This window comes from Homo sapiens, chromosome 1 (assembly GCF_000001405.40).
Source record: "Homo sapiens chromosome 1, GRCh38.p14 Primary Assembly".
NCBI lineage: Eukaryota > Metazoa > Chordata > Mammalia > Primates > Hominidae > Homo > Homo sapiens.
Window position 1 is genome coordinate 157,088,273 of NC_000001.11, and position 14,626 is coordinate 157,102,898.

The 14,626-nt window shown below is 51.2% G+C and overlaps 1 protein-coding gene across 1 annotated transcript, besides 1 other annotated feature; it reads right to left on the bottom strand.

Annotated features, from left to right (window-relative positions):
* Positions 1,227-1,748: an enhancer, noted in NCBI's record as "H3K27ac-H3K4me1 hESC enhancer chr1:157059291-157059812 (GRCh37/hg19 assembly coordinates)". NCBI's record gives its function as "activates a minimal SCP1, AML or CMV promoter by ChIP-STARR-seq in naive H9 embryonic stem cells {active_cell/tissue: H9 hESC(naive)}" and the evidence as "EXISTENCE:reporter gene assay evidence [ECO:0000049][PMID:30033119]".
* ETV3L (ETS variant transcription factor 3 like) lies at positions 3,771-11,536 on the bottom strand. The gene is made up of 5 exons (NM_001004341.2): positions 11,194-11,536; positions 10,869-11,106; positions 10,434-10,623; positions 9,596-9,716; positions 3,771-4,855 (listed from the first exon to the last, which is right to left on the bottom strand). Exons 1-5 carry the CDS (start codon positions 11,249-11,251, stop codon positions 4,377-4,379), a joined length of 1,086 nt encoding a protein of 361 aa, NP_001004341.1. The 5' UTR covers positions 11,252-11,536; the 3' UTR covers positions 3,771-4,376.
* Between the last annotated feature and the right edge of the window lie 3,090 nt (positions 11,537-14,626).

A 14,626-nucleotide genomic window follows, 5' to 3' on the forward strand; every position in this document is an offset into this window, starting at 1 on the left:
GGCTTGAACCGGGGAGGCGGAGGTTGCAGTGAGCCGAGATCGTGCCACTACACTCCAGTCTGGGCCACAGAGCAAGACTCTGTCTCCAAAAAAAAAAAATAAAAATAAAAATAATAGATGAATAAAATAAATAAAATAAAATAAAAAGTAAAAAGGTTACAGTAAGCTAAGGTTAGTTTATTATTGCAGAAAAAAATCTTTTAAATCAATTGAGTGTAGCCTAAGTGTATAGTGTTTATACAGTGTACAGTAATATCTTCAGGCTTCATATTCATTCAACACTCACTCACCGACCTATCCAGAGCAACTGCCAGTCCTCCAAGCTCCATTCATGGCAAAATGTGCTCTACAGGTGTACCATTTTCTACCTCTTGTGCTGTATTTTTACTGTATCTTTTCTGTGTTTAGATACACAAGTACTTATCATTGTATTACAACTGCCTATGGTATTTAGTAACATGCTGTAAGGTTTGTAGCCTAGGAGCAATAGGCCATGTGCAGCCTAGGTGTGTGGAAGCCTGTACCATCTAGGTTTGGGTAAATATACCCTATGATGTTTGTTCAAAGATTGCCTAACAATGCATTTTTTCAGAATGTATCCCTGTCATTAAGCAATGCATGACTGTTTATTTTTATATATTTAATTGGGAAGACATCCATGAAATATTGTGTTATGGAGCAGCATGTATAGTATTATCCATGTCTATTTGGGCACAATCAGGATTGCCTCAGGCAGGTCATTCACGAGGTATTCCAGAAGAAGGCGTTGTTATAGCAGATGACAGCTCCATGCATGTTATGGCCCCTGAAGACTTTCCCGTGGGACAAGATGTGGAGCACTGAAATCTTATGTATAAAATATTTATATGGTGCTTGAATTTTTTTCTTCCCCCTGGGTCAGGGTCTTCATTAGGGAATGAAAGGGGGAGGACGGGGATTGTCCTCACTCTCACCAACAACTCAGGACAGCAAATACTTTGCTTTTGTTTTTGTTTTTAAATCTCCAAGGCGGGCCGGGCACGGTGGCTCACGCCTGTAATCTCAGCACTTTGGGAGGCCAAGGTGGGCAGATCCCCTGAGGTCAGGAGTTTGAGACAAATTTTGTATTTGTAAAAATACAAAAATTAGCCTGGCATGGTGGCCCACGCCTGTAATCCTAGCTACTTGGGAGGTTGAGGTGGTAGAATCACTTGAACGCAGGAGATGGAGGTTGCAGTGAGCCGAGATCATGCCACTGCAGTCCAACTTGCGAGACAAAGTGAGATCGTGTCTCAAAATAAACAAACGAATAAATAAATAATCACTCAGGAATAAATTTTAAAACTTTTCTCTTCACATATATACTCATTTCTAAGGGATTTTCAATTCTGTAATTGAGTGGTCATGGTGAAATGGAAAGAACATTAAGTGATAATTAGGAAATGTATGTTCTACATTTGATTCTTCTCTTGTTTGGTTTTGAACAAGTACCTTCTTCTCTCTGGGCCTGTGAAGTTACGGGACTTGAACTTGATGCTCTCAAAGGTCCCTTCTGATTCCTAACAGTGCAGCCCGGGAGCCTGACTCCCTGAAACTCCCGAGGCCCAGGTGTGTATCTGCACGTGCCTTTGGTACGGTGGAGCCGAGTGCCCAGGAGCAGGGCTGGCAGGTGAGCTGACTCTGCTGTGTCTCGGCCCGGTGTCCACTGTCCTGGAAGAAGACTGAGCATCCACAGCATTCTATCCCCAGATGAGGCTGACAGTCACAGTCACAGATGGCCAGAGGATGTGCTGTCACCTGGTTGCACCAGAAACAAACAGGCTGCAGAGTGTGTTGCTACGTTAGACCTATACGCCTTTGGTGGATAGTCCATGATTTGCTAAGGGGGTTTGAAATGGGAAGGTTCTCACAAAATGCTTTTATTCTGCAACTCTCTTCCTCCTCTCAGAGGATTCCAAGGTGGGCATCACCCCTTCACCTCAGAGTCGGCTGTGGGCTCTGCACCCAGCCTAGGCCGGGGCTCTGAGCTCCTCTCGACCGCCGGTACTGACTCTGGCCACCAGAGGGCACTCTTGCCTTGTGGAGACCAACAGTCTTCTGAGTCCGAGGAACCTGGTTCCCATCTTTGCCAGAACATCTGGATTTGCTGAAGCCTTTCTCTACTTAAGTGGTTCTCCACTGGGAGCAGTTTCTCCCCTCTCCCCAGGAGACATTTACCAATGTCTGGAGACAGTCTGGTTGTCCTAACCGGGTGGGGGAGGGTGCTCCTGGAATCTACTGAGTAGGGGCCCCAGATGCTGCTAAACGCCCAGGAATGCACAGGACAGCCGCCCACAACAAAGAATTATGCAGCCGAAAATATCAACAGTGCCAAGGTTGAAAAAGTCTGCTCCACTCGAATCTATTGCCTAGACGCAGAGTGCACCATCTGGAAATGTAAGTCCTCCGGGGCTGAGCTTTTAGTCTCCCAGTTTCACCTACTCCAAAGAGAAATTTTAGAAGAGTGACCTCGAGGCATTTCCCATTGCCTGAGACGTGAGGGTCACAGATACCACAAAGCACTGAAGAGGCAGTGGGGTCTGGCAGAGGGGCATGTGAAGATCCCCATGAAGGAGAACAATTCTGTCCCAGGAGCTGGTCTCTCTGAACAGGGCCCAAACCCCATGACAAAACCATCCAGTTCCTTATGCTGGAGCAGACAACACTAGCTCTTTGTCTCCCAAAACTGGGCAGGGTGATGGGAAAGCCCCTGGGAGCTCGTCCTTCCTGCAGGGCCAGGGATGGGCCTGTGGCTTTGGGGGCAAGTGAGAAGCAGTTTTCATTGTAGCGCTGGGAACTCTCAGGAGAGAAACTCTGTGGTCCCCACTTTCTTGGCATCTGACATGAAGGAGGGAGACTGAGATGAAGAACTCTCATAGATCCTTTCTCCTGGCCTAGATCCAGCTTGGAAACCCAGGACCTGTGTGCTGTGTCCATCACCACCTTCCTGAGGAGCGAGGGCCCATCCTGCCCCACTCTGGGTCTCTCCTTTCCCAGTTCCATGTGTGGCCCTGTGGCCATGCATATGCCACTAAGAAGGGCTGAGAGGCTGCAGAAGCACGTGCTCAGGGCGTCCTTGAGAAGGATGCACCAACTCCTGGGGCTGAGGAACAGGGACAAACATTGAGTAAAGGGGCCCTCTGTGCCACACGAGTCCATGCTCCATGTCATAGAAAGGGAGTGGGGACAAATCCTAGGCTTGTAATTGGCAGCCTAGAGACAGTAGGGTGATGGGATCAACAGTCATGGCTCCTGGGGCACCCCTCTCTGTTGGCATGTCCTTGTTTGGGCAAAAGACCCTCTCTGTCACATGTCCCCTACTTTCCAGGCACCTGATGCCTCACTGCTGCTCTGCTTGGCATTCTTAGGGCCTGGGGTGTAGAGGAAAAGGGGCCCCTGACAGCATCCTCCTCCTCCTCCTCACCCAACCCTTCTGCTCCAAGGTGGTCCACAGGGATCTGAGGGCCGTTCTTTAAGGACCCCTGCTGTAGTCTGAAGTTCCTCCCTTGAGGCGGGTTTCCCACTGTGCCCAGGAAGCTCCTCATGCCCTGGCTTCCTTCCAGCCTTTCTGTCTGAGAGGAGATGCTGGCAGGAGGGAAGAGACTGGCTGGTGGGATGTGTAGCTCCACTCCAGGCCTCAGGTCCTCCTCCAAACTCCTGTTCGGGCCTTTTCCCATCACACCAGTCCAGAACGCAGGAGGAGCACAGTGGGAGGATGGGGGTCCACTGCAGGGGGGGGTGGTCAGCCAGAGGACAGTTTGCAAGGGCATTTTATTCATGGTCACAGTGGAGTATTACAGAGCAGAGAAGGCCAGTGTCTCCCCACCCCACTTGCCTGGGTCCTGGGGAAATGGAGAGAGGAGGAAGTGCCTGCATGGGACAGGGGTTTCCAGGGTCTCAGAAATCAGAGGGATGGGAGAGAAGTTGCATGGAGGGGTGAGAAAGGGACTGGAGACCTTAGCCTGGAATGGGGAGATGGGCCCCAGACAAGACTCAGGGAACACAACCACCCCTGTCCTCTCCCCAGGCTAGACCCTTAATTTTCCCCCTTATGTGGGCAGGATGGAAATTATAGAAACTTTATTCTCGTCTCCCTGAAGAAAAGTTGAGATTAGGAATGTCCCCTTAGTCTGCTTAGCAATATGGTGAAAGAGGAGGGGCACCCTGTCTTGGTTTTTCCCATTTCCACATTCACACCTTCCCTGCAATGCTCCCCACCTTGGGTCCAACTCCACCCCTTCAAATCCTGCAATTTCAGCCCATGTCCAGCCAGGGGAAGGGGCTAACCCAGAGGCGGTGGGCAAGAGGAGAGATGGACTTTGGAGGACTCCTCCCCAACTTCCCACCTTCCTCTCTAGTTAAGGAGGATCCAAGGGCCACACTGCTTTGAGGTTCTCCAGATTGGGGGAAGTAAGGCTTTCCTCCCCAGTTTTGAGTCTGCGGGTCTCTGGGCAGAAGACCTCCCTGGGATCCAGGCCTCCCTTTGCCTCCATCATGGGAGCAGGCTTTACTTCCAGCCCCTCGGGCCTGAGGGACAAGAGCCAAAGCCTCTCACCCGCACCCTGTCCCAGCCCTGCCAAGAGAGGAAGCCCTGGAAAATGCCAGGCCCCTGGGAGGCTCCTAGGTCCTGGGAGCAGGATGTCTGGCTTAAAAGCCCCTGGGAGCTGCTGCTCTGACGGGAGAGGAGGCAAGAAGGGCCCCGAGAGACAGGTCCAGTTGGAGGGCAGAGGGGGCGGGAGGGGAGGAGTGAAGGAGGCAACACCAGGCAGCTCGCCTTGGACGCTCCCCAAATGGCAGCAAAGGCCCAGCCGGCAGGGGCCTGGGGCAGAGCCAAGTCCTAGAGAAAGAAAGAGAGAAAGGGTCAAGGGAGCCCAACCTCTCGCAGATGCTCCTTGCTCCTCCCATTTCCCAGCCCTTCTTGTTTCTTGCTTGGAAGTCTCTTCCTCGCCCCACTGCCCTTCCTTTTCTTTCTGTCTTATTTTTTTGAGAGAGAGTCTCTCTCTGTCACCCAGGCTGCAGTGTAGGCTTGAACCCCACCTGGGTTCAAACGATCCTCCCACCTCAGCTTGCTGAGTAGCTGGGACTACAGGTGCGTGTGCCACCATGCCTGGCTAATTTTTGTGTTTTTTGTATAGATTGAGTCTCGCCATGTTGCCAGGCTTGCCCTTCCTTTTATGCTTTTCTTTTCTTTTTTCTTTTTTTTCTTTTCTTTTTTTTTTTAAACAGAGTCTTGCTCTGTAGCCCAGGCTGGAGTGCAGTGGCGTGATCTTGGCTCACTGCAATCTCCGCCTCCCGGGTTTAAGCAATTTTCCTGTCTCAGCCTCTCGAGTAGCTGAGACTACATGTGCATGCCACCACATCCGGCTAATTTTTGTATTTTTTTGTAGAGACAGGGTTTCACCATATTGGTCAGGCTGGTCTCGAACTCCTGACCTCAGGTGATCCACCTGCCTTGGCGTCCCAAAGTGCTGGGATTACAAGCATGAGCCACCGCGCACAGCTCCTTTTCTGCTTTTCTTTAGGCCTCATCATAAATATCACTCTTTGGAGAAGACTTCTGAGACTCCTAGCCTAGGCGAGAGTGCCTGCTGCCTGCTCTCATCCCTCCATGAACCTCTCCTCCAAGGGCACTCGGCTGAGTTAGGGTCATGTAGTCATTTGTGTGCTTTTTATTTAATGTCTGTGAGCCCAACTCTTTGGGGGCAGGGGCTGTAGTTGTTTTATTTTCCCTCGAATCTACCCAGTCTGGACATAATCAGTGCTCAAGAAAAATGTGTCCAGTGAATAAGGGAAGGATATTCTCTGCTATATCTCAATGGATCCATTCTTCACTCCCTGCCCCTGCAGCAAGGGCCTCCAGTCTAGCCGGGCAAAGAACTGGTTGTGTGGCCTTGGCCTTGTCATTTAAATTTGCAGTCCTCTGTTTCTTCATCCATAAAATCCCCTCTCCTAGCTTGGATTAAGCTGTGTCATGGGTAAGAAGAGGCCCTGCAGAGTGCATGACGGGAGGCCCAGGGCAGGTATGGGGAGCCCCAGCCTCCTTCTTCTCTGTCTCACTCTGGTCCATAACTTTCCACCTCCAAAAAGGCTTCCTTCTTCCTGCTCCTTCTAATCCTGCCTCTTTCCCTCTCCAACCCTGCCAGGGCCCTACAATAGGGCCTCCCAGCTGGGGGCCTTGGAGATGACTATATAGAACTTCACATCACTTTCTGTATTTCGAAAAGCCTAACTGCAATTCCACATTTTTCTTAGCAAGACCACATCATTTAACTAAAAGAACAAGCATCAACCCAACTTAGTCACATTGGTTGGGCTGTAGTGAATAAAAACTGGAAAAACAGGCCAGGTGTGGTGGCTCACGCTTGTAATCCCAGCACTTTGGGAGGCCGAGGCGAGCGGATCACCTAAGATCAGGAGTTCGAGACCAGCCTGACCAATGTGATGAAACCCCGTCTCTACTAAAAATACAAAAATTAGCCGGGCGTGGTGGCACGCACCTGTAATCCCAGCTACTTGAGAGGCTGAGACAGGAGAACTGCTTGAACCCGGGAGGCGGAGGTTGCAGTGAGCCAAGATCACACCATTGCACTCCAGCCTGGGCAACAAAAGTGAAACTCTGTCTCAAAAAAAAAAAAAAAAAAAAACCTGGAAAAACAAATTAGTTATTACTTAATATGTCCAGTGTATTTGATAAGAAGAATATTTCTGAAGTCAGATCTATGTAGGGAGAAAACAGTGACAGTGATCCTCTAAAGAACAAGTGTGGAGGCCCCTATCAGAACACCCTCTCTCTGGGTCATTGTCCTTTTCCTTGGGTCCTTAGATGAGGTGGAGACTGCTGTTGCACGGGAAGGCTGTGTCCCTCGGGGCTCCTGAGGGCATGTGGAAGAGATATTTTTATTTCTAAGAGTCCTCCTCTCATTCTCCAACAGGTTCCCAACCTTTCCCAGCACTGGCCCTGCAGCTCCCTGCCTCCGGCTCAATAGACCTGGCACTCCCGGAAGCAGCTTCCTTTCTTGGCACCAAATGCTCTGAGTGAGGGGTGGAGGTGAGGGGCTGGCACAGGCTTCTGGAATCTCAATCTAGAAGTGGGGCATGTGGCTGCTTCCAATCTTCTGGTGACCTATACCTGCTTAGCATCCCTTAGGGCCAAAGCATAGGCAGGGCATGTGTGTTTGCCTGCAGAGGGGAGGGAGGTGCAAAATAGCCCACTCCAAGTGGGGCTTGGGAGGGAACACTTTTTTCTTTCTTTCTTTCTTTCTTTTTTTTTTTCTACCACTATCCACCTGGAGAGGGAACACTTTTTTCTTTCCCTTATAGTTTCCTAAAGAGAGAAGCTCTCTGCCCAAGGCATTCCCAGAGCTGGGACGGGGTGGGTGGGGGTGGAGAAACAGGGAGGACTGTTCAGGTGCTATTTAGCTCCAGGCTGCCAGACCAGGCCCAGCGAGTCCCAGCAGGCCCTGGAGCACCCCACACCCATGGCCTCAGCTGCACTCCCAGGGGTGCAGAGCTTGGGCCCCCAGCAGCTCAGGGGTGGGGTGAAGGCCATGGATCCTTCTTCCATGAAATTGGCTGGAGTAGAGGGGCAATTCTTTGACCTCTGCACAAGAGCCTTGGTTTGGCCAAGTGTCTCTGTGATCTTTTTCACAGAAAATCTGATACTGTCAGTTCCCAGCTCACAGCCTCTGTAAGAGCTGATGTCTGCCTCCATTTCCACCTCTTCTCCCACTCATTGGCCATGTGTTTCTGCACTGGCCTTCTCCCAGTCTCTCTGTTCCAGGGCCATTGCATGCACTATTCTCTCGCTCGCCCTCTGTTCCAGGGCCATTGCACACACTATTCTCTCGCTCGCCATGCTCTCCCTACTCCCTCTGAGCTAAGCTGACACTCACGTATACTTTGGGTGTCATCTCAAGTGTCACTTTGTCAAGGAAGTCTTCCCTGATGCCCTCGGCACCCTGCACTTCTCCTCTGCAGCAGTTAGCACAGTTATAATCACTTATCGATCATTAGTTGAATATCTGCACCCCCCTTGCCTATAAGTCCCATAAAGGCAGTGTTGCTCACATTGGCTTCCTAGCCCCTAGGACAGTGCCTGGCAAATTAAACAGGAGGTCATTAAGCATCTGTTGAAAGAAGAAATGAATGAGTGAGTGAATGAGTGAATGAACCCTATCTTCCCAATCTCTCTCCAGCTGAGCCTCCTTCTTCATCCCATGGCCGTTGTCTTGGTTACCGCCCCATCATCTCCTGCCTAGATTATCTTCAAAAGCCTCCCAACTCCAGTCTTATGCTTCCTCCAACCCAAACTCTACACACACACAGTCATCTTTATAAAATGAAAGTCTGGCAGGGCGCGGTGGCTCACGCCTGTAATCCCAGCACTTTGGAAGGCCGAGGCAGGCGGATCACCTGAGGTCAGGAGTTCAAGACCAGCCTGACCAACATGGAGAAACCTGGTCTCTACTAAAAATACAAAATTAGCCAAGGTGGTGGCGCATGCCTGTAATCCCAGTTACTTGGGAGGCTGAGGCATGAGAATCGCTTGAACCCAGGAGACGGAGGTTGCAGTGAGCCGAGATTGTGCCATTGCACTCCAGCCTGGGCAGCAAGAGCAAAACGCCATCTCAAAAAATAATAAAAGAAAGTAAAATAAAATGAAAGTCTGACCATGGATCTCCCTCCCAGTCCCTCCTGCCCACAGGAGAAAGTCCTGCTCCCTTAGCATGGCTTGTGCGGCCTCTGTGGCCTGACACCTGTTTGCCTTGCCAGCCCTGTCTCTCATCCGTCCTGCTTGTTCCCACCGCATCGCAAGACTTGCTCTCCAACAGCAAACTACCAGCTGTTCTCCAGATTTGCTACACTTGTTCACAGCTTTTTGCTTTATAAATGCTATTTCTGACTGGGTGTGGTGTCTCACACCTGTAATCCCAGCAGTTTGGGAGGCTGAGGCGGGTGGATCACCTGAGGTCAGGAGTTTGAGACCAGCCTGGCCAACATGGTGAAACCCCGTCTTTACTAAAAATACAAAAATTAGCTGGGCGTGGTGGTGCATGTCTGTAGTCCCAGCTACTCAGGAGGCTGAGGCATGAGAATCACTTGAACCTGGGAGGCAGAGGCTGCAGTGAGCTGAGATCCTGCCACTGTGTTCCAGCCTGGGCAACACTGAGACTCCGTCTCAAAAAAAAAAAAAAAAAAAAGAATAAATAAATGCTATTCCCTCTGCTTAGGCATCTTTTCCCACCTCCTTCACCTGCCCCAGTGTTGTGTCCTCTGGGAAGCCCCAGTTCCTTCTCTGGGCCTGAATGCACAGCACCTAGTGCTTACCTGAATGCCAGCAGCAGTCGCTGGCAGTAATCCCATCTCTGCTCCCCACTAGGTTCTGAGCCTCTTGAGCCTTTCATCTCTGAACCCCCGCACTTAGTAAATAGCTGGTGTTCAATAAATGTTGGTCGAATGAATGAATGAGTTACATAGTATCCCTTGTCTCATGCCCCCTCAGCCATGTACTCAGCCAGGAGGGCCCTCCCTCCTCTGGCTAAGATCCCCCTGGGCCCTCCCAGCCTTGAGCACTCACGGTAGACGCTGCTGCTGCTCCCCTTCTTATCCCCAGAGGTCTCTGGTGGCCCTCGGGGGGTCTGCTGTCCTGTCAGCTGCTCCACCATGGCCTGATGGGCAAATAGCATGCTGTGCAGGAGCTGAGGGGTGAGAAGTAGGTGCGAGGTGTGATGGGCTCTCCTTGGCATGTATCCTCCAGTACAATCTGGTACTGTTAGCCAGTTGCTAAAACAATGAAATACTCTCATACCGATTTTTTTTTTTTTGAGTTGGAGTCTTGCTCTGTCACCCAGGCTGGAGTGCAGTGGCGCCATCCTGGCTCACTGCAACCTCTGCCTCCTGGGTTCAAGCGATTCTCCTGCCTCAGCCTCCCTAGTAGCTGGGATTACAGACATGTGCCACCATGCCCAGCTACTTTTATATTTTTATTGGAGATGGGGTTTTGCCACGTTGTCCAGGCTGGTCTCGAACTCCTGACCTCAAATGATCCGTCCACCTCGTCCTCCCAAAGTGCTGGGATTACAGGTGTGAGCCACCACGCCTGGCCTCTCATACCCATTGTTAAAAGCCCACTGCCACGGCTGCCTACAGTCTCAGATGCCCTGGGCCCTTCCCTCTGATCCACCCCTAAAGGAGTGGCGACTAGGACAGAAGGAGCCACCCTTTCTCACAGGTGGGTCCTGTACCACCTGGATTGTTAATACCCCTGCCTCTGGGGCACTCAGGGTCTAGGATGCAGGAGGAGAAGAAAACTGGAGGCTGATGGGCCCCAGAGGCAAAGAGGAGGGTGGGGAGCCTCCTGGGCAGAGGGGTAGGACCTGGTGGAGCCCTGAGACAGGGGCCACCTCCGCTCTTACCTCACTCTGCACACCCACGGGCACCAGCGCTGGCCGACACAGGGCAGGGGCCCCCAGCAGCAAGTGGGGGGATGGCGGCGCCCGCACTTCCCACAAAGGATAGTTGACTACGATGAGCTTGCTGAAGTTGAACTTGTATGTGAACCTTTTGCCTTTGGTCTTATGCAGGATCCTCTTATTGTAGTAATATCTGGAGAATTCGAAGTTGAGAATAGAGTTGGCCCAGCAGTCAGAGAATAGAGTCAGGGACCCAGTCACATTCTCCTCCCTAGCCGGGCTGACCCTAAGCTGTTCCCCGAGAACCACTAGGCTGCTCACCACAGGCCAGGACACTTCCCAAGCCTTGGAGGGGTGGGAGTCAGCAGGGGTACCAGAAACCACGGCCCTTTTCCTTGAAATCCCCCCTCTTTGGCCATGTCAGCCGCCTCCTCTCACCTGAGGGCCCGGCTCAGCTTGTCATAATTCATCTGTGGTTTGCATTTCCTGCGGCCCCAGAGGCGGGCCACCTCATCTGGATCCTTGATGACAAATTCCCCGTACTCTCCCTGCTGCCAGGCGATGACATGGCGGAACTCTTCCTTCTGCAGCAGCTCCAGGATGAAGTGCCACAGCTGGATCTGCCGGGAGCCTGGGGACGACTCGGCTTTGTAGGCCCAATCAGGGAAGGCCAACCCTGGGTGGAGAGGGGAGAGTGAGGGCTCTGGAGGCCCTGCCCTAGGCCACCGTTGGAGCAGGGGGTAGGCCCGGCCAAGAGGCTCACCTGAGATCCAGTTGCCGGGGTTGGCTGGGATGCCCTCAGCCAAGCAGCTGCAGTGCATGGTCCACTCCGGCGAGATGGGCTGTGTCTGGGCCTTGGGGAAATGGTCACCACTTAAGAGGAAGGGAAGGAAGGAGGCAGAGGGGAGGACAGTGAAAGAGGAAGGAAAAATGGAGGGAAAGAAGGAAGGAAGGGAGAGGGTCAGGAAAGAAAGAGAGAAAAGGGAAGGGACAAGAGGTTGCCAGTGAAGGGGAGAAAAGGGAACCAGAGGCAGCAAGCTTCCCCATACCCAGACAGGGCCCAGCCCCCTCTGGGGACCTCCCCGCTGCCCAGGGCTGACTCGGACTCAGGGCTTCCGGCTGAGCTACTTATATAGATGGAGAGAAGTGCAAAGGGTCCTATATCCTGCCCCTGCTGGGGGATTTAGACAGAGAATGAGATCTCTTCTTAGGGCTTAACAGGATTGGAGTTTTTCCCAAGAGAAGACAAAAGGAAATGTAATTAATCATGGGCTCATTCTAAATCTTGAGTGGGAAGGAGGTGGCATATACACATACCTGTGCCTTTACAGTATTTCTTTTTTTTCTTTCTTTCTTTCTTTTTTTATTTTTTTTGAGACAGAGTCTCACCCTGTCGCCCAGGCTGGAGTGCAATGGGGTGATCTCGGCTCACTGCAACCTCCGCCTCCTAGATTCAAGCAATTCTCCTGCCTCAGCCTCCCGAGTAGCTGGGATTACAGGTGCATGCCATCACGCCCAGCTAATTTTTTTTATTTTTTATTTTTAGTAGAGATGGGGTTTCACCATGTTGGCCAGGCTGGTCTCGAACTCCTGACCTCGTGATCCGCCCACCTCGGCCTCCCAAAGTGCTGGGATTACAAGTGTGAGCCACTGCACCTGGCCGCCTTTACTGTATTTCAAACAATTTGACATTTGAGAAGAGCAGGAATTTGGTTTTTTTGTTTGTTTGTTTGTTTTTTTGAGATGGAGTCTCGCTCTGTCACCCAGGCTGGAGTATAGTGGTGAGATCTCGGCCCACTGCAACCTCTGCCTCCCAGGTTCAAGCGATTCTTCTGCCTCAGCCTCCTGAGTAGATGGGATTACATGTGCCCACCACCATGCCCAGCGTATTTTTGTATTTTTAGTAGAGACAGGGTTTCGCCCTGTTGGCTAGGTTGGTCTCAAACTCCTGACCTCAGGTGATCCGCCTGCCTCCGCCTCCCAAAGTGCTAGGATTACAGGTGTGAGCCACCGTGCCCAGACGAGCAGGAATTTTTATGGGCTTTTTTTTGCCAGTCCCAAGGGCCTGGCGCAAAATAGGTGTTCAATAAATGATTGCTGATCGAATGAATGAATGGTAATGGACTTATAGATAGTGTCTTCTTTGTTGAACATCTGTATCCCGCTCAGAGTGTCAGCTCCGAGATCAGCAACCCTAGCTGTCTTGTTCTCCTCTGCTGGCTCCCCAGATCCCATCGTAGCACAGGACATCGTACTCAAAGGTGCTTTATAGATATTTGTTGAATTGGTGAACCATGGACAGGAACCGGGAATCTTGTGGTTCTCCGCTGAGAAGGGTGGGGAGTTTATGGAATGAGCCCTAGTGAGATAGACTTGCCTGATATAGGAAAAGAGAACAAAATATCTAAGCTCTAAAGCCTTCTGGATGGAACAGAAAGCCTTCTGGATGGTGCAAAAGGCTGGTTTCCACTATAACTAATGGAAGATGAAACAATATGCAAAGGGACTGGGAGAGGCTGCCTTGGGGATGCAGCACATGGGAACTGCTCCTGGTGGGCCAGGGCATTGGGAGGTTCCTGGGCGCTTAGGACTGCCTGTGAACAGGGTTACGTGACCCGGGCCTGGCTCTCCATCTCTGGTGGAGTTAGTGTGCAGTAGTCTCAGTGAGAACTTATTAGGCTGTGAGGTCTGGAGGGCGTGTGAGGATTTGTCTGGAGGGCATGTGAGGATTTGTCTGGAGTTGCTTCCTCACTTTCCAGAGGAGGCTCAGACAGGGAAAATGACTTGACCAAAGACAGGTGGTGAGTTAGCTGCCCTGCCCCCTGACTCCTAATCCATAGCACTTTCTCATATACTGAGTTGCCTTAAGACTTAAAAAAAAAAAAAATCTATGTTGGTGATTTTCAGACTCTAATGCGAATAGGAATGATCTGAAGGTCTCTTTAAAATACGGATTCTGATTCAGTGGGATTTGGGGGACCTAAGACTCTGTACTTCTATTATTTATTTATTTATTTATTTATTTTTTGAGACAGAGTCTCACTCTGTCACCCAGGCTGCAGTGCAGTGGCATGATCTCAGCTCACTGCAACCTCCAGGTACAGGCAATTCTCCCACCTCAGCCTCCCAAGTAGCTAGGACTACAGGCACCCATCACCACGACTGGCTAATTTTTGTATTTTTAGTAGGAATGGGGTTTCATTATGTTGGCCAGGCTGGTCTCAAACTCCTGACCTTAAGTGATCCACCCGCCTTGGCCTCCCAAAATACTGGGATTACAGGCGTGAGCCACCGTGCCCAACCAAGACTCTGCACTTCTTTTTTTTTTTTTTTTTTTTTTTTGAGACAGAGTCTTGCTCTTTTGCCCAGGCGGGAGTGCAGTGGTGCAATCTCAGCTCACTGCAAGCTCCGCCTCCCGGGTTCACGCCATTCTCCTGCCTCAGCATCCCGAGTAGCTGGGACTACAGGCACCCGCCACCACACCCGGCTAATTTTTTGTATTTTTAGTAGAGATGGGGTTTCACTGTGTTAGCCAGGATGGTCTCGATCTCCTGACCTCGTGATCCACCTGCCTCGGCCTCCCAAAGTGCTGGGATTACAGGCGTGAGCCACCGCGCCCAGCTGACTCTGCACTTCTAACAAGCTCCTAGGTGATGCTGCTGCTGCTGGTCTGCAGACCATACTTTGAGCAGTGAGAACCCATAGAACCCATGGGATGCAGCAAAAAGAGGCTGTGGATATCAGAAAGTCAGGGAACCCTAGACACTTCAGGTTGTAAGAATCCTGGCACCTCCCACTCCTGGCACCAAATCATCTGGTCTCTCGCTCTCCGTTTCCCAGGGAATGCTCAGTGCCAGGGATGTAAACTGACAGACAGGCAGTTAGGGGTGGGAGCTTGGAGGCACACATTGTGGCCTGAACTGAGAGTGTCTCTGGAAATTAAGGTGAATAGGGCAGTGAGTAGATCCAAGCTCACCTGGAATCTGCATGAATAGGTTATCCTACTCATCCCTCTGTCTCTAAACTGGCAGCTGACATTCTGGAGTCTTCTCCCCTTTCCTCCCCTGAAGCAGATGCCCCCACTCCTCTTCCAACCTCCTTTCCTTCCCTGTCTACTTGGAAATTCCTCCTCAGTCAAACCTCAATCTGATTAGGATCTCTTCTGCTTCACCTTAGGAAAATGGGCTGGGAAATGG

Bases quoted from the DNA above. Each gene is read 5' to 3' on its own strand.
- ETV3L (NM_001004341.2), bottom strand. From the start codon at position 11,251: ATGCACTGCAGCTGCTTGGCTGAGGGCATCCCAGCCAACCCCGGCAAC. The intron at 11,107-11,193 runs GTGAGCCTCTTG...CTCTCCACCCAG, and splicing joins CCCCGGCAACTGGATCTCAG to GGTTGGCCTTCCCTGATTGG. The intron at 10,624-10,868 runs GTGAGAGGAGGC...CGAATTCTCCAG, and splicing joins AAGCTGAGCCGGGCCCTCAG to ATATTACTACAATAAGAGGA.